The 22,975-nt window shown below is 45.1% G+C and overlaps 1 protein-coding gene across 9 annotated transcripts in view, besides 2 other annotated features; it reads left to right on the top strand.

The window, feature by feature from the left end:
• SEL1L3 (SEL1L family member 3) overlaps nucleotides 1-22,975 on the top strand; it is a 149,603-nt gene that overhangs the window by 51,973 nt on the left and 74,655 nt on the right. For all 9 annotated transcript variants that reach the window (XR_007096387.1, XR_007096388.1, XR_001741182.3 and 6 more), the window contains exons 10-12: nucleotides 6,842-7,053; nucleotides 9,132-9,311; nucleotides 21,020-21,139. Coding sequence is in view for 5 of the 9 variants with exons in the window: in NM_001297592.2 (NP_001284521.1) it covers nucleotides 6,842-7,053; nucleotides 9,132-9,311; nucleotides 21,020-21,139 (512 nt within the window). In the remaining 4 variants the exon portion in view is untranslated. The remainder of the gene's footprint in view (nucleotides 1-6,841; nucleotides 7,054-9,131; nucleotides 9,312-21,019; nucleotides 21,140-22,975) is intronic.
• Nucleotides 302-866: an enhancer, noted in NCBI's record as "H3K4me1 hESC enhancer chr4:25812350-25812914 (GRCh37/hg19 assembly coordinates)". NCBI's record gives its function as "activates a minimal SCP1, AML or CMV promoter by ChIP-STARR-seq in primed H9 embryonic stem cells {active_cell/tissue: H9 hESC(primed)}" and the evidence as "EXISTENCE:reporter gene assay evidence [ECO:0000049][PMID:30033119]".
• Nucleotides 15,643-16,414: an enhancer, noted in NCBI's record as "H3K27ac-H3K4me1 hESC enhancer chr4:25796802-25797573 (GRCh37/hg19 assembly coordinates)". NCBI's record gives its function as "activates a minimal SCP1, AML or CMV promoter by ChIP-STARR-seq in naive H9 embryonic stem cells {active_cell/tissue: H9 hESC(naive)}" and the evidence as "EXISTENCE:reporter gene assay evidence [ECO:0000049][PMID:30033119]".

Here is a 22,975-nt window from a genome sequence, read left to right as displayed (position 1 = left end):
AGTACTCAAAACATCTTTGTTGGGTAAATGAATCACTGAAGGAATGAGGAATTTGACTTCCAGGAGACCCAAGTTCAAGGTTTGCGCTAGCCAAGCTGCAGCTCCAATCCAGACTGCTAAGAGTTCTATGGACTTACTCTGCTTCCTTCCACATTTCCCTCATTTCTCCCACTCTCCCTCAGCCTGTTTCCTCTGAGGAGCGGCTGCTCTTTCTCGGTAGACACTTCTGTAAAACATCGTTCTGTTTCTCAGGTCTACCAGGACGCTGTTTGCCAGCTTTCCGCTGTCAACAGCAGTAGACCAGAATCCTGCTCAGGTCTGTGCACACTCATTTACAAAAGAATCCCAGAAATGTAGCCGTCATAGTTCTTGCTTTCATATGATCTGTAATCTAGTTGCTGAGATATACAGGTTCCAAGACGTAAAGCAGCCACGAGGTACCTGTAAACCCAATTCAGGACCCATGTACTGGGTGCATCCCACATGGTGCCAGGCCCTGGGGCGACCACAGTGAGAATTGTGGACCAGCCCACACACAACTCTGTGCCAAGTGCCAGGGTGTACAGAGGAGGGAGGCTCATTGAGAGTTGACAGCTGATGCGCTAACCTGGTATAAGACACAGCTGTTCCCACTGGTGTTTTCTTCTCTGATGTATAACAGGACCCGTTCCTCGCCTCCCAGAGCGGGCACGCCTTTGAATTAAACATGGCGGGGCTACTCGGGGTGCCCAACTGCAGCGCATATAGATGTGGCCGAGTCCCCTTGCTGCCTCGGGCATTCCAGGGCCTCTGCTCTGCATCCTGATTTTCTTGCTTGGCACAGGGATTCTCTTGTGCTGCTGTGGCCCGTAGTTCACCACCGTCTAGACTCTGGGGTGGCATCCAACATGAGACCCCACGTTCAGGACTCCGGAAGAGGGGACTCTGATTGGTCAAATTCTATGTTGTTTCCTGGGGAACCTCCAATTCTCTAGGAAAATGGCTCCTGCCAGAGCGTAGAAATTGCCCTATTAGCATTTGGGCTTTTTCTAATGCTAGTACGGTGGTGTTTTAGTATGCATGTTTTTTCATTATTTAAGAGTTGTGCTGGCCATTTCCTTCTTTTACTTTCTTGTCACACCTTACCTGTCAAAACTGAGCCGTTTGAATTCAAAAACCCTTTGAATGGGGCTCTGGCATCCAGAGAAGAGATGCGATGAGGACTGGGCTGGTGAGAGGCTGCAGGGATGGCAGTGGCAGTCCGGGCTCTTGGTTGTGGCAGGGAGCAATGAGGAAGGACACAAAGGCACTGAACAGGTGACATGAAGGCAGAGAGGGGAGGGGGGAGCTGGGCAGCATGGCCCCAGGGACATCTGCCCTAAGGCCAGGCCTATTTATTCCTTTCCTGCCTTTCATCTGCACTGGGCACCTCTGACCAAGGGAGTTGGTGCCTGTGGCTAAAGGAAGTCCAAAGTCTGCCAACAAATGGTTCTCTGGGATGGGGCCAGGTCCAAGGTTGGGCTCGGCTCCCTGGGCTGACACCATCTGCGCCCCTTTCAGGACCACTGCCTGCCTCTTGCCCCCAGGCTCCGGAGTGCTGAGTGTGGGGGCAGAGGTGTCCCCACACAATACGCCAAGGAGTGACTGGCTGCACTAGCGAAGCTCTACCTTGCTTTTGACTTTATTTTTGCCAACAATTGCGATGTTTATTTGGAGACCTTAAAACGCAGAGAGTGGAGATGTTAGAAATACAACTATGTTACATAATAACATCGGGATACTGTTTCCTTTTAAGAGCTGTGTTCCCTGTTTGTTGAAGAACCATCATCTTTATTACCTTTTTTAAAAAAGCATACATATAGTTTTTTTAAAAAAATACACAGAGACACCAAGAAAACAAACAATGGGCTATGCTTTTCTTGCTCAGAGAATAACAGCTCCGAAAGGAGAGAGAGAGAGATGGAGGAAGGAGGGAAGGAAAAGAAGAAGGCAGGGAGAAAAATGACGTGTAAAATCAGAAAGTTTATACGGGGTCAGGAGCGGAGGCTCATACCTGTAATTCCAGCCTTTTGGGAGGCCAATGCGGGAGGATCACTTGAGGCCAGGAGTTCAAGACCAGCCTAAGTAACATAGCGAAGCCCTGTCTCTATTTAAAAAATAAAATAAAATAGGCTGGGCGCCGTGGCTCAAGCCTGTAATCCCAGCACTTTGGTAGGCAGAGGTGGGTGGATTGCTTGAGGCCAGGAGTTCGAGACCAGACTGGCAAACATGGCAAAATCCTGTCTCTACCAAAAAAAAAAAAAAAATTAGCCAAGCACGGTGTGCATCCCTGTAATCCCAGCTACTCGGGAACTGAGGCAGGAGAATTGCTTGAACCTGGGAGGTGGAGGTTGCAATGAGCCAAGATCATGCCACTGCACTGCAGTCTGGGCGACAGAGCAAGATTCTGTCTCAATAAAATAAAATAAAATAAAAAAGAAGAAAGAAAAGAAAATTTACCCAGTACATAGAAAGATACAAATAGGCTTTTTTTTTTTTTTTTGAGACAGAGTCTCACTCTGTCGCCCAGGCTGGAGTGCAGTGGCGCGATCTCGGCTCACTGCAAGCTCTGCCTCCCGGGTTCACGCCATTCTCCTGCCTCACCCTCCCAAGTAGATGGGACTACAGGCACTCGCCACCACACCCTGCTAATTTTTTTTTGTATTTTTAGTAGAGATAGGGGTTTCACCGTGTTAGCCAGGGTGTTCTCGATTTCCTGACCTCGTGATCTGCCCGCCTCGGCCTCCCAAAGTGCTGGGATTACAGGCGTGCGCCACTGCACATGGCCCAAATAGGCTTTTTTTGAAAAAGAAAAAGAAAGCAGGCTGTGAGCCCAATGAGGATCTCCAGGTCAGAGTGCAAATGAGGAATGCCCTGTGTTTTTACAAACCAGTCAACTTGGTGTAGATCATTCCTTTTAATAGTTAAGTGACATTTTCTCCTTTCCTTTTTTTCCCCTTTCAAACTTCTACCTTGGATGCATTACACCTTTCAGAAGCTTGAAACTAAAAACGACTTTCCTATTGATGTCTACATTCCTGTCACAGGGAATGAGGTGCCTTTCTGCTCCTGAATTCTCGAACAGACGCTGGTCCCAGCTCCGGGGCCTTTAGCAAGTGGTTACCTTCTCACATTCTGCTTTTTGCCTCTTCTAAAGATGAGCACACAAACGGTGACCTTATGATATTACTGTGAAAAAGGGGAAAAAAGCAAAATAAATGATTCTGGGCTACATGGAAAATAGTAAGGGGTAATTAGTGGTGGTGGTGGCTTTTGTTCCTTAGCTTTGGGCGCTGAAAGAAAGAAAATGGGAAAATGGCTGCTTCTTCTATTTTGTTTGTTTGTTTCTTCATTAAACCATTAATCTCCATAAACAAGGCATGTTTTTAGTTACAGATTGACTAGAAAAAAATGCATATGCTAAGCCAGATGGGTGAAATTAACAGTTTCATTAAACTGACTTTAAAATCACCAGTGTCACAATATCACCCAAGACATTATGCCTTTGCTTTTGAGCAACAGTTGGAATTCAAAGTTTACCAAATGTGCAAAATGAGCAGTTTTACCTTAGGATTATTATTTTTATTTATATTTACTACTGCAGAAAATTATTTGATTCTTTTTCAGAGAAAATACTGTTTGGTTATATTTTGGGGGGAGTTTTGAATTTCACATACGAAAGAAATAACACAGCCCTTTCAAACTGCCTGTGTTTCAACCTGCAAAGTTTTTTTTGTGCTAAAGATTTGAGCTTTGTGAAGGATTCCCTTTTTGTTCCTTCTTCTCCAGCAATCTCAGCTACCTGGGCGCTCCTGCTAATGATTTCTGGGGTTCCGTGCCAGGGGTCGGCAGGACAAGTGTTTCATTTGAAGCTTCATTTGGTTTGGAGTCTCTTCCTCCTCTGAGCCTACAAAGCTCGGGTCCACGGGTACTCTGGCAAAATTCATCATCTTAGTTAGGCATTTGGCAGAATAGGTGAGGCAGGGATGAATCTTTAACAAATGTTAATGTTGCTTTGCTGGGAATGTGCAGAGGGGCATCCAAGATGAGCACACATTTAAAAGTAAACACATGAATAAGTGGCAGTAGAATTTATTTTGCAACTCTGAGTGCTACAGTGTCTACTGAATTCAGTGTATTCCACGTTCTTATTACAACTAAAGACTGGGTAGAACGGACTTCTCTTAACTATGCAAAGGGAAAATCCAAGACAAGATTCCGCAGGCTGCTGGTGAAAAGGGGTGTTATCATGCAGATGTCATCCTAACAGATTAGCAGAGGGAAGTGGAAATGTTCGAGGATGTTCAATGCCACGTTGTTGGTTATAGCAAAACCACTGGAAACAACACAGGAGTCTAAAAATAGAGGCCTGGTAGGGAAAATGGTACAGCTACGGAATGCAATACTATTGAAGCATTAGAAAGAATGAGCTTCTGACAGCCCCAGAGAGTTATTCATAATGTGTAGTTAATTTAAAAAAGAAAGTCGAGAGTCAGACTCTACAATGGCATAATACGCCATTTTGGTAAAGAAAATGTGTATGTAGATATGTAAATAGATTTGGATACGAATTATTGTATATACGAAGGAAGAGTGCCAAAGCCTACATACCACGCTTTTAATAGTTTTTAATCTTCGTTATTAAAGAAAGATTGAGGGAGATGGGATTTCTGTTTTTATTTTATACAAATCTGCATTGTTTGAATTTTTTTTTTTTTTACGACAAGCTGTTATTTCTCTGGGGAGTTTAAAAAAAATACAGAAAAAGGAACAAACTCCATTCGTTCAGTAAAGTGAATGTTTTCAGCACCTCCTGTGCCAGGTACTTGGGATCAAAAAAGCAAAAGCAGAACCAGGAGGTAGGCAGGGAAGAGTTCCAGAAGCTAGTAACTGGAGGATGCCTTAGAGCTGGTGGAGGTGGTGGCTGCATCCTTCCCCACAGCTCAGGGTCTGCCAGCACAGGCACAGTGTCCCCATCTCAGGGACACCCAACCCACCCATGTACCCCCAGGCACCAGTTCCCGCTCATTGACAACGTGTCAGCATTCACAATTTCATCTGTGGGTCCTTCTGATCTCAACTTCCATTTTTAGCATGGACCTCTGCAAGGAAATTGCCCTTAAATAAACCCATCCCCAGCCTTCCCACATTGGATACTCTTCTGTGTTCAATCCTGATGAAGGGCTGATAAGAGTGAGTCTCTCTCGTTGCCTCCTGAGCTTTAAAAAAAAAAACATTTTGCCGGGCGCGGTGGCTCAAGCCTGTAATCCCAGCACTTTGGGAGGCCTAGGCGGGCGGATCACGACGTCAGGAAATCCAGACCATCCTGGCTAACACGGTGAAACCCTCTCTCTACTAAAATACAAAAAATTAGCCGGGCGTGCTGGCGGGCGCCTGTAGTCCCAGCTACTCGGGAGGCTGAGGAAGGGGAATGGCGTGAACCCAGGAGGCGGAGCTTGCAGTGAACCGAGATCGCGCCACTGCACTCCAGCCTGGGCGACAGAGCAAGACTCCATCTCAAAAAAAAAAAAAAACAAACAAAACAAAACAAAAAAAACCCACAACATTTTAATTTTTCACGGAATGAAGAAAAAAAGAAACATCATGTTGGACATAGTTTTTAGGCAGGTGAAATTTTAGTCAAGTTGACATTTAACTTAACATTTACATCAACGTTATTTACATGTACATTTACATTTAACTCACATCCTAAGTTAAATGTAAGTCTTAAGTTAAAAGTTAAGTCTTAAGTTAAATGTAAATAGTATCTTTGCAATCCTATATGGCCTTTTGTAACACAGCATCTAGCATAGTGCCTTGCACATAATGGAAAGTAAACATTCGTTGGCTGAATTAACAAGAGATATGAATAACAAAGATAGACTTTAGAAGACTCTAACAGTACATCTAGGGCCATAAAACTTGCTTGTTTGGGCTTAAATGATGATCAGCTTATAGATTCATGGGAGAATTATGTAAAAGGAAGCATCATATAGCTTAAAGCAGTTGTGTAAACAAGTCTCTATCCGCGTGGTAAAGTACTTATTAAGGCAACTGATTGACTTTTCATTGAGGGTACGTGCATCAGGGTGACTGTGAACTCTGGCTTTAGTGACCTTTGAAGCAGGGCTCACTGCTTGGCTCTGCCTCTTGCCAGCCTTTGTAACTTTAGACAAGTTATTCTTCTCCAGGCCTCAGTCTCTTCGTGTAAAAAATGGGGATGCTGAAAATAGTACCGACCTTATAAAAGTGTACCAATTAAATGACATAATTTACATAAGACACTTAACCCAGTACTTGGCATGTTGTAAGCTCTCAATAAAAGTTGACTCATTCTTTTTATTTGGAGACCCATGAGAAAAACTGGGGACAAAAGATGTCTAGAAAGCATCTAAAACTAAGGTTCTTTTGCTCAACTTTTTAGAGCAGTACCTAAGAACTGTTTGTGAGATAAAACACATTCTTCTTTAGGGAGTCTTAGAGGGGGAAAAGGTCCCTCTGGAAGTTTCAGTGGTCCTGATTTGGTGATGAGTTACACTGAGTAAATTACTCTCTTGAGGCGATTTCTAAGCTACATACAGCACATCATTTCCCCAGGATACTAGGCTGTCATATAGTGCCAAAGAAAAAGCTATTTACAGAATGACACCATGGCATCCCCAAAGGGTTTCATTTACCTCCCTGGAAGGTGGTATATTTTGAGGCACTGCAGGACCGACCATATCAATAACTCAGGTGATTTAATTGGCTTTTCCTCTTTTTCTAAAGCCACATCGATCCCATGGTAATTAATTGTGTGTGCTCTGAATTGTGTTATTTACAGTGCCAAGGAACCAAAATGAATCTGTATCAGAAATCGGTGGGAAGATATTTGAGAAGGCTGTAAAGAGACTCTCTAGCATTGATGGTCTTCACCAAATTAGCTCTATCGTCCCCTTTCTGACGGATTCCAGCTGCTGTGGATACCATAAAGCATCCTACTACCTTGCAGTCTTTTATGAGACTGGATTAAATGTTCCTCGGGATCAGCTGCAGGTAGAGTATTTCATTGCTCCATTAACATCAGTCACTTGCATTATATTTGCAAAGCAATGCTCTCGTGCCCCTGGTAGAACTGGACATGTTGCAGCTCCTTGGAGACCTTTAAAAATCTTTACACTCAAGATAAATGTCCTGGGGCTGTGTTAAATACAGGATCCTTTGCTTTCAGTGAGTGAAAAAGGGCACTTCATCCATTTCTAGACAGGCCTTGGGGGGATGATTGGTGTACCAGCTAAGGAACAGTGTCAGTGCTTGCCAGAACACCAGTTCTTCAAGAACAGGTGCTCCTTACCAAATTCTTGTAATTACTCTGCCTGTGAGACCATTATCCCACATCACTTTTTAGCTAAGTGAAGTCACTTGGACCTTGAAGCAAAGTATTGCTGCATCCAGCAGTCTGTCATCAAAATAAACGCCATACCAGACGGCTTCATTTCTGGTTTTGAATCCAAATTTATTATGCAACTAGTCTAACATTTAGAATTACATTTTCATAGTGCATTAGTCAGGGTTCTCCAGTGAAACAGAACCAATGGGATTAGATATATATAGGAAGAGGTTTCTTACAAAGAATTGGCTCATGCAATTATGGAGGCTGAGAGGTCCCACAGTCTGCCGTCTGCAAGCTGAGGGCCAGGAAAGCCAATAGTGTAATTCCAGTCTAAGCCTGAAGGCCTGAGAATCAGGAGAGATGAGGCCATAAATTCCAGTCCAAGGGCAGGAAAAAAACCAAAACAACAACAAAAAAAAAAACATATAAAAAACCCTGATGTCTTCCTGCCTCAAGCAGGCAGGCAGGCAGAAAGCAAAAAGGGACCAATTTCTCTTTCCTCTGCCTTTTTGTCCTATTGAGGCCCTCAAGAGATTGGATGATGCCCATTCACAGTGGAGAAGGCCGTCTGTGTAGCTTACCTCACCAGTTCAAATATTCATCTCATCTGGAAACACTCTCACAGACACATCCAGAAATGATGTTTCATCTGGGTACCCGATGGCACAGTAGAGTTGACACACCAAATGAACCATCGCAATAAGCACTGCTAAATGTTCCCTGATTGCTTTTCGTTTTCAAATTTGCATAGGTGATTGTGTATGCGTGGTTTGGGGAGGCTCAGACTGTTGAGATGTGCCCAAATGGTTCCATGTTCCCTTCCAGTTATTTGCTTATGATGCCTCTGGCTTACAGATGCTCCTGAATGACAGCATGTTTTCCTGAGTCCCGGAAGCAGTCCCCACAAGGGTGGAATAATGAAAACAGCCTAGTCCCATCTCTGCCACGAAGTGGCTGGTTGACCATGGACAATCGACTTCCCCTTTCTGGGCCTCTCTTTTCCCAACTGTGAGATGAGGTGGTCAGACCAGTCAATCTCCAAAGACCCTTCCAGCACAAACATTCTGAGAGTGTGAGGATGGGACATGGGCCCGCCATCCAGACCCCGTGTCCATCGATGATGTCACTGAAACAGAACAGGGGACTTAGGATGGTTGGCTGGTGCCCAAAAAGGTGCTGCAATAGAAGTCATGAAAGATCCCCGTTTGTACCAGGAAGAGGCAAAAGTCAGGGCATTTTAAGCTATTTGACATTAGGAAGGGCAGCTAGCTGGAAATTTGTAAACCAATAGAAAGCTAGATTGGCTTTTTTCCCATTTCATTTTATTATTTTTTTAAAAAGGCAAGTTAAATCCCAGCACTTTGAGAAACCGAGGCGGGTAGATCATGAGGTCAGGAGATCGAGACCATCCTGGCTAACACGGTGAAATCCCATCTCTACTAAAAACATAAAAAATTAGCTGGGCATTGTGGTGCACGCCTGTAGTCCCAGCTACTCCGGAGGCTGAGGCAGGAGAATCACTTGAACCTGGGAGGCGGAGCTTGCAGTGAGCCAAGAGTGTGCCACTGCACTCCAGCCTGGGCGACAGGCCAAGGCTCCGTCTCAAAAAAAAAGGCAAGTTAACATATTTCTGGAATGGCTAGGATTGTATATAGGAATTGGGCCTGACAACCTTTCAGTGTTAGGATTTTATGACCCTATCTACAATCTCATGAACGCTTTGTCAATTTCTTCCTAACAGGGCATGTTGTATAGTTTGGTTGGAGGCCAGGGGAGTGAGAGGCTGTCTTCAATGAATCTTGGGTATAAACACTACCAGGGTATTGACAACTACCCCCTGGACTGGGAACTGTCGTATGCCTACTACAGCAACATTGCCACCAAGACACCCCTTGACCAGCACACACTGCAAGGAGATCAGGTATGAGAGAGAAAAAAGGTTGGGAATGGTTATGGCCCTGTTTACCTGCTTTCATGAAGTGTCTGCCCCTGTGGTTGCTTTTGTAGTTGGCCTTCAGAGGTTGAACATAATCAAATGGAGAGAGGAGCTGTCTTGCGCTCTCCATTTCCTATTACCTGGCTGTGTTCTCAGGCTGAATGCAGGGGCAGCCCTACATTTATGCATGAAAAGCTTTTCATTTGTGAGAGGACTGGTATGTGAAGAGTCAACTTGGCCTTGGGCAGATTTTGATTTTGCAAAAAAGTGTGTACCTACCAGAAACATAGGCATCTTGTCTTTGTGCCAATACCCTATGAGATGGTGAGGTCTGGAGATGTTAGGTGGGACTGGGTCAAATTCAGTGGAGGCAGGAAGCTGTAAGGGCTCCTTTCAATGTGTGATGAGCAAGCAATGTCTACAATGGACACAGGCAAGCTTCCTACCCAGCTATGTTCCCCCTGCTGGGTGCTTGAGAAATGTCTGTCCCCATGCCATGAGCCTTGCTACACCAGTGCTCCCAGGTGACTGACAACAGGGTGTGATGATTGAAGACTCCACCCTATCCCAGATGAAGGACTAGATGAGGGACACTAACTCCAGCCCCCAATTTTGCAGGCTCCCAGATATTATTGATTCATTGGACAAAAAAATCAGTGACTCACATCTCCCAAAAGACCATAATGTATTACATTACACCAACTGATGGTTTGCTTCCAGACTTCTTTCAGAGGACAGGGAGTAATAGGGTCCAACTAAAAGGTGATAGTGTAAGAATAAAAGAAAGCTGCCTCTTGATACAGATCTGCATCGAATGGTGGTAGACAATAAAGTGGTTGCTTCTTATAAGTTGTTGGTTTTTTTTGAGACAGAGTCTCACTCTGTCCACCAGGCTGGAAGGCAGTGGCGCAATCTTGGCTCACTGCAACCTCCATCTCCTGGGTTCAAGCGATTCTCATGCCTCAGCCTCCTGAGTTGCTGGGATTACAGGCGTGTGCCACCATGCCCAGCTAATTTTTTTATTTTCAGTAGAGACAGGGTTTCGCCATGTTGGCCAGGCTGGTCTTGAACTCCTGACCTCAGGTGATCTGCATGCCTCACCCTCCCAAAGTGCTGGGATTATAGGCGTGAGCCACTGTGCCTGGCAAGTGCCATAAACTTGATTTGCCCCTGCTTAGTGAGCAGCTCTGAGAGACAGGCCTAGCCAGGTTAGGATTGTTGAATTTTAGGCTGCGTGGCTGACTGGGAACCAGACCCCTGGTTCCCAGCTCTGCCCCTGGATTGGGCTCAGAAATCCTCAATGCAGAAAATTCAAGCTTTGATGTTTGGGAATGGTTGGTTTCTGGAAAAGAAATCTAGAGTGGCTACTGGGTGGCTATGAAGTAAATGACTTGAAGATATGCTGTCAGTAAATGTTGAACATGAGTCAAGCTATAAAACACCAAAAGGCTGTCTATGTAGGCATTCTAATTCCTTTTGAAAATAATGATTCCTTCTGAACAAACTTACACACCCTTATAATTTATACATGTATTTTCTGTCTGTATAATTTAACCTCAATTTACAGGAATAGATTTATTAATTGGTAAAGTTTTTTTTAAAAAAAGAATTGTTCTAAAAAAATTTGCACAAAGCCAAGCCAAAAAAAACTATTTTTTTTAACTAAGCCTGGATGTGTTAATAATGTTCTACATGTATATGTTATACTTTTAAGAATTCAAATTCAGCATAAATTAGCAACAGGAAATGATATGTTGCTAACAAGCTCCTTTTCTTTTGAAGATTTGGCATATGAAATGTTATGATTGCGAAAGAAAACATTTAATTGGTCAGAACCAGAGGAGATGAATAGAAAAGATCCGTCTTGCAGCTGAAAAGTCACCTGATTAAGAATCACAGATAGGAATTATACAGTTAGAAGAGTTGTGTCATAGCTCATTTTCTTAAGAATGGGTAATTAATGGCTTCTTAAGAATTTAAACAGGTGTCATATGTTGATTTAAATGTCCTTTTGTTGAGAAATCTATTAATTCACCAGCGTAATGTAGTAAATGAGAAGACAGAGAAAGCCAGACCTCTAATTAACAAACCAAGGACCCATCAATAACTGCTTTCTTGATTCTTGTTTCATTCTCTCTTTTGCGTAACTCGTGGTTCACATCATTTCATCTTTATTAGTGCTCTCCCTTCACATCGCTTTCTTTATGCTTTAGTAGGACTCTGCTTCAGGATAGACAGAAAGAAGATGGCTAGTACTTCTGTTTGTTTCTGCAGCTTAATTACAAATGATTAGTCCTCGCATTCTGCCCACTCCTCAAAAGCTGCTCTTCCTCCAGGTTTGGTTGCCAATATTCTGTTCTCTCTCTACATTTTCTGGACAGAGATCTCATCTACACCTCTGGTTTCAGCTGCACTCCGCATATGATAATACTCAGACCTTAATCTCTGACTGTTTTCTTACAAATCCCCATCTGCCGTCATTGTCACATACTGCAAAAGAAACACATCCCTCCTCATCTCCATTCCCTGCAAACACCTCAGCAGATGGCACGATTGTTCATGCTAGAACCTGGGGAGTCATCTTGGATCCTCCATCATCCCACCAGTCAACAACCCCCAACAGCTTTCCATACCACTTTTTCTCTCCTCCCCACGTGCACCCCTGCTGCTGCCTGAATTTGTTGCTCATCGTCTCCCCTCTGAGCTCCTACAACAGCTGATGGGCTGAATTGTGTCTTGCCAAAATCCGTATGTTGAGGTTCCAATTCCCAGTACCTCAGAATGGAACTATACTCGGAAATCAGATCTCTGAAGAGTTGATTAAGTTGAAATGAGGCTGTTAAGGTAGACCTCTAATCCAGTAGGACTGGTGTCCCTATAAAAAGAGATTAGAGGCCAGGTATGGTAGGTCACCCCGGTAATACCAGCACTTTGGGAGGAGGAGGCAGGCAGATCACTTGAGGTCAGGAGTTTAAGACCAGTCTGGGCAACATAGTGAGACCCCATCTCTACTAAAAATGCAAAAACTAGCCAGGCATGGTGGTGCGCATCTGTCATCCCAGCTACTTGGGAGGCTGAGGCACGAGAGTCACTTGAACCTAGGAGGCGGAGGCTGTAGTGAGCTGAGATCATGCCACTGCACTCCAGCCTGGGCTACAGAGCAAGACTCTGTCTCAAACAACAACAACAAACAGAGTAGGACACAGGCAACACAGACGGATGACCACATGAGGATGCAGAAAGATGACAGCCATCTGCAAGCCAAGGAGGGGGGTCTCAGAAGACATCAAGCCTTCCAACACCTTCATTAGGAACTTCCGGCCTCTAGGACTATCAGAAAATTTCTGAGTCACCTAGGCTGTGGATCTTTGTTATGGCAGCCCTAGCAGATGGAGACCCCCTCCTCCCCGGTCTTTCTTTCTTTCTTTTTTCTTTTTTTGAAACAGAGTCTCACTCTTATCACCCAGGCTGGAGTGCAGTGGCACGATCTCAGCTCACTGCAACCTCCACCTCCTGGGTTCAAGTGATCCTCCTGCCTCAGCCTCCCGAGTAGCTGGGACTACAGGCATGTGCCACCACGCCCGGCTAATTTTTGTATTTTTAGGGAAGACGGGATTTCACCATGTTGGCCAGGCTGGTCTTGAATTCCTGACTTCAGGTGATCCGCCTACCTTGGCCTCCCAAAGTGCTGGGATTACAGGTGTGAGCCACCTCGCCCAGCCGTCCTGGTCTTTCTGTCACCAGTCTTGTGCCTTCCCATCCTCTCCCTCAGGCCAAGTTCACCACTGCACACTGGAATCACCTGGGGGCTTACAGAACATCTCTGCACGGAATCCACCATGGAGGGTCTCATGAAAGTGATGTGGGGTGTGGCCTAGGCACATACATGTGATATGCAGATACATGTGTACGTGTATGTGTATATTTTAAAATAAGCCTGCTGTTCAGCAGGCTTTAACTCTGCAGTATCAGAGATGAACTTCTGAGCTGCCCATTCTAGAGATGTTGATTCTATAAAATGGCAGCAACAACAACAACAACAAAATACAGTCCTCAGGGGATTGTACCCTGCAGCCAGGGTTGAGCAGTACTCACCCAGAAGAATAAGTCTAGCTCATCGGATGCCGTATGAGACGTTCTTCGATCTGGTTCCTTGCTACCTCCCCAACCAAACTCGCAACACCAAACTTTTGGCCAGGCCTGGCTGTTCCCACCTCCTGACCTTGCCTGTCTGCTTACTGGTTTGCTTTCTCCATGCCCCTCCCACTTCCCCTCTGACTTCCCACTTTGATTCTTTCTTGCTCAGATGTCACCCCCTCTGGAAGCCTTCCTGGGTCTCTCCTTGCTGTGCCACCGTCACATCTAGGCACATCTCTCCCATTGCTCCTGCACTGGGTGTTGTGTGCAGGGTGACAGAGCTGGCTCCCCAGTAGACTATGAGCTGCCTGAGGCAAGGACGTCATCTGTTCACCTCTGTGTCCCGGGGCCCAGCACTCTGCCTGACACATAGTTGGCGCTCAGTGTTTACTGATGGAAAGATGGCTAGAAGTGGGTGCAGAGGTTACCCAGTGATGAACAGAAAGTCAACTGCAGTGTCTTGATGCTGGTGCTTTTCGAGGGGACCCGTGTTTCGTTCTTGATGGCAGGTACCCAGAGCCCTTGCCATGAGCCCCTGCCTCTCTTGCATGCAGCACCACCATCGTATGTGACACCCATATTTGGGGAATCTTGGCAGTTTGCTTCCCTGTCTCTCCACCCTTACAGCTGATGTTTCCCCTTCCGACTTACAAGTCCCTAAAGTGTTAAATTTCTACAAAGAAAACACACGCACTCCTACTGGGAGCCTAACATTATAGCTGATTTTAAACACGCTAAGAGGCAAGTTCCTCGTGGCGGTTCTGCCAGGCCCTGAGGTGAGCGGTTGAAGTGCAGGCTCCACAACTGCCTGTTCCTCCAGCTGAGCCTGCTCCTGAGTTCCCAGGGGTGCTGGCAGAAGGCAGAGGCTCCTGGAAAATGTGGGGCTGCCGAGAGGCTTCGCTCCTCAGCTGCAACAACTAGAGGGTTTTTTTTTTTTGGTCTTCCTTTCTTCCTTCCTTTCTCTCTCTCCCTCTCTCACCCTCACCTGCTCCCCTTCCTCTCTCCCTCCTTCTCTTTCTCTCTTTTCCACTTCCTTTCTTTCTTCTCTTCCTTTCTCTTTCTCCTCCCTCTCCTCTTTCTCTCTCCACTACCTGTCTATTCCCCCTGTCTTTTCCTCTCTCCTTTTCCTCTCTTCCTCTCTCTTTCCTCTTCCTACCCCTTCTTCTCTCTCCCTCTTTCTTCTTTCTTTCATTACCTCTCTTCCATTCCCTGTCCTTCCCGCGTCACTGTCCCAGATCTTACCTTTCTTCTTTTTTTTTTTTCTGTCTTTATGCTCTGTTGGACTTAGAAAGGAAATATTTTCCAACAAACACAAAACCTTACTGTGTTTTGTTTTTGTTTTTTTGTTTTGTTTTGTTTTTTTCGAGATAGAGTCCCTCTGGAGTGCAGTGGTGTGATCTCGGCTCACTGCAACCTCCACCTCCCGGGCTCATACCTCAGCCTTCCAAGTAGCTGGGACTACAAGTGAGCCACCATGCCTGGCTAATTTTGGGCATTTTTAGTAGAGATGGGGTTTCACCATGTTGGCCAGGCTAGCCTCGAACTCCTGACCTCAAGCGATCTGCCCACCTTGGCCTCCCAAAGTGCTGGGATTATAGGCATGAGCACCTGGCCACACTTACTGTATTGATTAAGGTTTTCTTTATTTTATTTTTTAAAATTTTACACACACACACACACATATTTTTTTTTTCTTTAATTTGAGACAGGGTTTTGCTATGTTGCCCAGGCTGGTGTCAAACTTCTCGGCTCAAGTGATATGCCTGCCTCAGCCTCCCAAACTGCTAGGATTACAGGCGTGAGCCACTGCGCCCCAGCCTTCAGCTTTCCTGAAGTTGATGACACACAGACAGGACATGTTGTGAGCACCGCCCTCTGTGGCCTGCAGGCTGACTGGAATGAAAGGCATGTCAGCATCCCCGGGACAGTGTGGAGCCTTCTCTGGGGCTTGGTCCTGGGTGGTCTGAGGATTGCTTTGTCTCCAGACACTGGGCCTCCTGTGACTTGCTCAGCAGTATTAAGATACAAACTTCTGAGCTGCTCATTCTAGAGATGTGGATTTTATAAAACGGCAACAATAACAACAATGAAAACCCAGATGCCATGGAGGATCCCAGAACTGGTCAGGCTGGGACGCTTGGTTCCTGCCAGTGTCCACCAGCTCTGCCCCTACCCCACACACCCGCCCAGTGATTTTTTTTTTTTTCTCCCAGTCCACAGCTTCTTCCCGGCTTTTCCTGCCCACAAAACTGTTTGAATGAATGGACAACTGAACACTTTCCTTTTAAAGGTCATTCCTGCCTCCGAAGTCTTTGTGTTAATAGGTGGTCTGCTTTCACAGAAGGCCTCAGGAATGTGACCATGATGTGATGCTGGTTGCTATTGTAGTGACCCCAGAACTATGGAGAAGGCAACCCCCACCTGGGTGTGGCAGGCAGCGTGTGGTGGCTCCAGGGCCAGATTTGCCTGGGTCCAGGTCCTGGGTCTGCTACTCACTGGCTGTGGACTCTAGGATCATTCTGCTTACCTCTGTGTGTTTCTCACCCGTAACATGGGAGCCATGATGGTCTGCACCTGTCATGTTGTTACAGCACAGATAAGTCAATCCAGTACAGCCAAGCACACAGGATGAGCTCCCTAAATTGTTTCTGGCCCCAACACACCCTCCCCCAGTTCTAGTCCTTCTGTTTTCTAAAGCATAAAATTCTCTTAGATCTTCATCCCCACAACCTAAGGCTTTGAGTTGTACTAAACTGCAAATACCAATAGGGTTAACGTTCTAAACAGCAATTAGCCATTTACACTTTAGTATGAGTTAAGGCCCTAAAAAATGATGAGTTGTCATTTACTGAGAGTGTGCCATGACCCAGGCACTTTGCTAAGCTCTTTCACAAACAATCTTCTTTTAAAAGAAATATTATATTTTATGTTCCGGGGTACAGGTGCAGGACGTGAAGGTTGTTACATAGGTAAACGTGTGCCATGGTGGTTTGCTGCACCTATCAACTCATCATCTAAGTATTAAGCCAGCATACATTCACTATTTTTCCTGATCTTCTCCCTCCCCCCCACCCCCCAAGAGGCCCCAGTGTGTGTTTTTCCCCTCCCTGTGTCCATGTATTCTCATTGTTCATCTCCCACTTACAAGTGAGAAGATGCAGTGTTTGGTTTTCTGTTCCTGTGTTAGTTTACTGAGGATTATGGCTTCCAACTCCATCCATGTCCCTTCAGAGGACATGATCTCATTCCTTTTTGTGGCTGCATAGTATTTCATGGTGTATATGTACCACATTTTCTTTATCCAGTCTATCACTGATGGGCATTTGGGTTGATTCCATGTCTTTGCTATTGCTACAGTGAACATATGCACACATGTATCTTTGTAATAGAATGATTTATATTCCTTTGGATATATACCCGGTAATGGGATTGCTGGGTCAAATGTTATTTCTGGTTCTAGGTCTTTGGGGAATCGTCACACTGTCTTCCACAATGGTTGAACTAATTTACCTTCCCACCAACAGTGTAAAAGTATTCCTATCTCTCCACAGCCTCACCAGCATCTGTTGCTTCTTGACTTGTTAATAATCGCCATTCTGACTGGCATGATCTGAATTCTAACTCACCACTATCTACCTGGCATGAGATGGTATCTCATTGTGGTTTTGATTTGCATTTCTCTAATGATCAGGGATGTTGAGCTTTTTTTCCCCTACATTTGTTGCCTGCATAAATGTCTTCTTTTGAGAAGTGTCTGTTCATGTCCTTTGCCCACTTTTAAATGAAGTTGTTTGGTTTTTTTTCTTGTAAATTTGTTTAAGTTCCTTATAGACTCTGGATATTAGACTTTTGTCAGATGGGTAAGTTGCAAAAATGTTTTCCCATTCTGTAGGTTTGTTGTTTGCTCTGATGATAGTTTCTTTTGCAGTGCAGAAGCTGTTTAGTTTAATTCATCCCATTTGTTAATGTTTGCTTTTGTTGCAATTGCTTTTGACATTTTCACATGAAATCTTTGTCTATGCCTATGTCCTGAATGGTATTGCCTAGATTTTCTTCTAGAGTTTTTGTAGTTTTGGGTTTTACATTTAAGTATTTAGTCCATCTTGAGTTAATTTTTGTATAACATATAAGGAAGGGGTCCAATTTCAATTTTCTGCATATGGCTAGCCATTTCTCCTAGCACCATTTATTAAATAGGGAATCCTTTCTCCATTGCTTGTTTTTGTCAGACAAACAATCTCATTTAATCCTCATGCAACCTTATGAGGTCAGAAATTGCCCAAAGTCACACAGCAAATGAGTAGTGGAGCCTAGATTTGAACCTAGGTCATTCTAGCTCTTTGCACAGTGAAAAAGAATGGCTCATAGGTTGGTGCCTTTGATGTAGCAGATGCCATACTAAACTCCATTTTATGGATGCAGAAACTGAGTCTCAGATAAAGTAACGAGCCCAAGGCCTAAGGTAAGTAGTGGTGAATTAAAATTCAGATCCCCTCCATCTGATATGAAAAATTGTGCTCTTAATGGTCCCACCCTGCTGCAAAGCTCAGTGATTCCAGCAGGGCAGTGGGGCAGGCCAGGTTAGGACACAGAAACAAAAGGCAAACGTTTGAGCCCAGGAGTTCAAGACCAGCCTGGGCAACATGGAGAAACCCTGTCTCTACAAAAAATACAAAAAAAATAGCTGGGCTTGGTGGTGCATGCCTGTGGTCTCAGCTACTCGGGAGGCTGAAGTGGGAGGATCACTTGAGCTCAGGGAGGTCAAGCCTGCAGTGAGCCATGATCGTGCCACTGCAATCCAGTCTGGGTGACAGAGTGAGACCCTGTCTCAGAAAAAAGGACAAACATGTTTCCTCTTCACAGTCACCATTTACGTCACCACCCAGATACATGAGTACTTCTCACGATGGTAAGGCTGGGCAAAGGATGTGGGCCCCACAACCAGCCGGCTTGGATTTGACTCCTCAATTTGAAGAACTATCTGATGTTGGGCTTGTTACTTAACCTCTCTGGGCCTCCGTTTCCACATATGTGAAATGAGGATATTCATGGTGACTGTCTTATCAGGTTGCAAAGATTTGATGAGTCAATCTGGGCAAAACAATTAGGACAGTGCCTGGCACATCATCCATGATGGTTCTTATGAAATATCACTGACAGAAAGACCTAAGAATATCAATCACTGCAGGGTAGGAACTGTGTCTTCATGAGTTATGTCTTTATTCAAGGAGGAAACAAAACAAGGAGAAAAAGAAAAACAACCAAAAATAAAAAACAAAACAAAACATTAAGAGCACCTTCCATATCAGACTGAGGGGATCTGAATTCTAACTGATCACTAACCACCTGTGGGCCTTGGGCCAGCTACTTTATCTGAGACTCAATTTCTGCATCCATAAGTGGAGTTTAGCATGGCATCTGCTACATCAAAGGCACCCAACCTTTTAGCCATTCTTTTTTACAGTGCAATAAGCTAGAAAGACCTAGGTTCAAAACTAGGCTCCACCACTCATTTGCCAAACAGATGAACAGAAAACCTTCAGCTGAGAACTCCTTCTCAGGGCAGCTCAGGCTTCAGCACAATTCCAGGCTCCCCACCCAGGACAGTGTCCTCTGGAGTTTAAGCTGAAGCACCCGCTCATGGGTTGCCCTCCATACACACTGGCCATAAGCTTGGCCAAGCGTGGACCAGATAGAGTGGTCTGTGCCCAGATTGGATTTCAGCACCTTCTCACTAGAGGGCGACATCCCATGGGAGCGCCAGAGAGCTGTGTCTTTGGAGTCAAGCCAACCTGGCAAGGCCAGTTCTATAGTTTCACCTGGAGTTCATGGTTTCACCCTCTGAGCCTGTTTCTTGGCCTGTAAACTGGGGACAGTGATACCTGGATCGAAGCTTTGTTATGAGGATTAAGTGGAAAAAAAGAAAAAAAGGAAAAAAATACCACGTATCTCAAACACTGAGCATATAGTTGGTTTCAATAAAAGTCGTTATTCTAAGTGTTACTGTTAACTTGGTGGCCTCCTCAGGTTAGCTGTCCAGCAGGAATGGCTGCTGGCTGGGTTTTGAGCCTAGCACAATCACCAAATCTCAGCCCCCGAGTCCCCCTGGAAAGGACCCCTGGCTTCACGAGGCCAGTAGAAGAGGCAGCTGAGAGACATTCTGAGGAACGGGGCTGCAGACTCAAGTTTGTGACTCTCAGTACTTTTTTTTTTTTTTTTAGACTGAGTCTCGCTCTGTCCGCCAGGCTGGAGTGCAGTGGTGTGATCTTGGCTCACTGCAAACTCTGCCTCCCAGGTTCAAGCGATTCTCGTGCCTCAGCCTCCCAAGTAGCTGGGATTAGCGGTGTGTACCACCACACCCATTAAATTATGTATTTTTAGTACAGATGGGGTTTCACCACATTGGCCAGGCTGGTCTTGAACACCTGACCTCAAGTGATCCTCCTGCCTTGGCCTCCCAAAGTGCTCAATACTCTTCTTAATTAACTAACAAAGAAAATCAGGCCTGGCTCCTTCTTCTCTGGGGCTTCTTTTCCAAACTAGTGCAGACCCAATTTTTTCACCATCTGCCTGTGGCATGGCTTTGGGCATGGGGAGCCCTCTCTAGTATCCCCCTTATGGCACTATTAGAGCGACTTCATTATGTATAAAGAGAGACCGTGGAACAACAGGACTGGATTTTTAATAAACAGTGAAAGTTTATACATCAAAATGAATTTTATCTTCTTCAAAGGAGTCAGATACCTGGGAGGCTGTGTGCAAATTCTAAACATTTTGTGAACTTTCCCTTTGGGTTCTTCTTTAAAGCCTCTAGCATATTCTTTCTTGCATCCTCAGAGTTAACATGCCCTCTTCTTTTCAGGGTAGATTTAATTTTTGGAAATAGCCAAAAGATATTTGAAGCAGAACCTGCGAAATAAAAGAGGTTAGTCATGCAGGATAGTAATACGTTAGAATCAAAAATAAGGTTATACTTAGAAAATATTGATTTGCCTTTTTGATTTTGCATGTGTATAATCTGGCTCTGAAATCAGTTGCACGAAGTGGACTTCGAAACAAGCCTGAGCAATAGAAGTAGATGTGGAAATAACTTCGGTTTCTCAAGGCAAATACTTTGATAGGAACAAACAACCGTTTAGATATAGAAGATGTGATACATTCCTTTAAAAAGAATTTGACCTTATGTCATTGTAGGCACACCTCATATTTCAATTATTCATATAGTTTTTCTTGAGCAATTGCTGGTTTAAGAATAATGTCATGTCTTTTGCGTGCTTATATCATTTGGATATTTCCTTCCTTCCTTCCTTCCCTCCTTTCTTCCTTCCTTCTTTCCCTCCCTCCTTCCCTCCTTCCTTCCTCCCTTCCTTTCTTCCTTCCTTCCTTCCTTCCTTCCTTCCCTCCCTCCCTCTCTCCTTCTTTTCTTCCTTCCCTCCCTCCCTCCCTCCCTCCCTCCCTCCCTCCCTTCCTTCCTTCCTTCCTTCCTTCCTTCCTTCCTTCCTTCCTTCCTTCCTTCCTTCTTTCCCTCCTTCCTTCTTTCCCTCCTTCCTTCTCAGGCATATGTTGAAACAATTAGACTAAAAGATGATGAAATACTCAAGGTACAAACCAAAGAAGATGGAGATGTCTTTATGTGGTTGAAGCATGAAGCTACCCGAGGCAATGCAGCAGCTCAGGTAAAAACGCAGGCTACTGTCTTGGGGATTCTGTCAGCCATGATAGACTGGGTTATACCGTGGTAATGAAACATCTCAAACTGCAGTGGCTTAAAATAATGCCAGTTTATTTCTCACTCACACTGCATGTCCAATAGGGGTTGTCAGGGGCAGGCCATAGTTGTCACAGTCCCTTAAGAGTCCAAGCTGACAGAGGTTTCCAAAACCATTACAGTCGGGCCATGGCCATAGCGCCTTACCAGCTGGCTAACGCTTCTGCCCACAAGTGGGATATTTCACTGGCCAATGCAAATCACGTGGCCCCTCTTGACTTCAAGTTCTGCCACTCACCCAGAAAGAGGGAAAGCCACAATATTTATGACCAGCTCTAAAGAGTACCATCAGGTGCACTGATGCATCCATCAGATAGAAAAACAAGATGCACCCTGGGGTGCAGGGGAAATTAGACAGCGTCCAGAAGACCATGAACTCAGCTAGGAGAGCAATAGAAAGTCATTTATGGCTTGTTGGACCAAAAGGATCAACCTTGTCTCTTGAACATCTCTTGTCTTTGGATGGACTTTTAAGAGGTACGAGAAAGGGCAGACGGCTGGGGAAGCACCCTCTCTGCTTCCCTGCTTTGATTTCACTATGAAGAGGAGCCCTTTGTGGGAGCCTGTGAAGGCTGATTGCACCAGGAGGAAGCCTCCTTCCCATAGGAAGGATTTAGTTTTGGCTTAGTGCTCCCTGTGAGTGCAGCAACATCGGGAAGAGTCTCTGGGGCTGCTAAGGAGGCTGAAGCCCAGAGATGGGAAAGGGAAAGAAAAAAGAAAGGAGTCACAGGCATTGACAAAGCAGACAGTACAGGGGCTTTTTTTTTTTTTTTTTTTTGATTCAGGGTCTCACTCTGTTGGGCAGGCTGAAGCTCAGTGGCGTGATCATAGCTCACTGCAGCCTCAAAGTCCTGGGCTCAAGTGATCCTCTAGCCTCAACCTCCCGAGTAGCTGGAACTATAGGCATGTGCCACCATGCCATGCCCTGCTAATTTTTAATTTTTTTGTAGAAATGGGGTCTTGCTATGTTGCCCAGACTGGTTTTGAACTCCTGGCCTCAAGCAATTCTCCTGCTTATGCCTCTCAAAGTGCAGGAATTAAGGCCCACCACACCTGGCCCAAGAGGCTCTTCTATAACAGGTCTCCCTCCTCTCTATAGGGGTCTTCCTCACATTTCAGGCGATACTTTGCTGGAAGTTATAAGTATTGGGGAGGAAAAGGGAAGAGAACGAGATGAGAGGAGAAGCAGAAAGAAGGAAGGAAAACAAAGGACCCATGTGGAACTAGAATGTTAACACACGTTGCTCTGGCCACGTTCCTGGGCATATGTCCTTGGTCTGCAGTCTTTCTAGTACAGGAAGGAATTCCAATGTATAGCTCTGGGAATGACTCTGCCAGAGCCATTTCCTGGGTGTGCCAGAGCTTGCATTAACTTTTCTAACCATAGGCACTTCTTTCTTCCTTTGTTCACTAAGAAGTCTTTGTTCAGCAGCTTCTATGACCTGCTGAGCTCTGCTGGGTTGGGGGGCTAACAGACAGGGACAAAGATAAGTAACATCTTGAGGTTCCTCCCTCCCAAGAGCTTCCAGCCTCCAGTCTGATGTTGGAGCCAGCCATGTAGACAAATGATAAGATGAGAGATCAGTGCTATAGAAGGATGCCCTAATGATACAGATGTGCAGAGACCTCCATGCCAATCGCTGGGCCAAAAGAAAGGGCAATACCTCCCAAAAGAGTGCCATTTGAGGAGTTCTGATTATTGACGAAGTTCCAGCTAGCCCTGGTCCTGGGTACAGTAGATACA

This window comes from Homo sapiens, chromosome 4, assembly GCF_000001405.40.
Source record: "Homo sapiens chromosome 4, GRCh38.p14 Primary Assembly".
NCBI lineage: Eukaryota > Metazoa > Chordata > Mammalia > Primates > Hominidae > Homo > Homo sapiens.
This window is presented reverse-complemented; position numbering and strand designations above follow the sequence as displayed.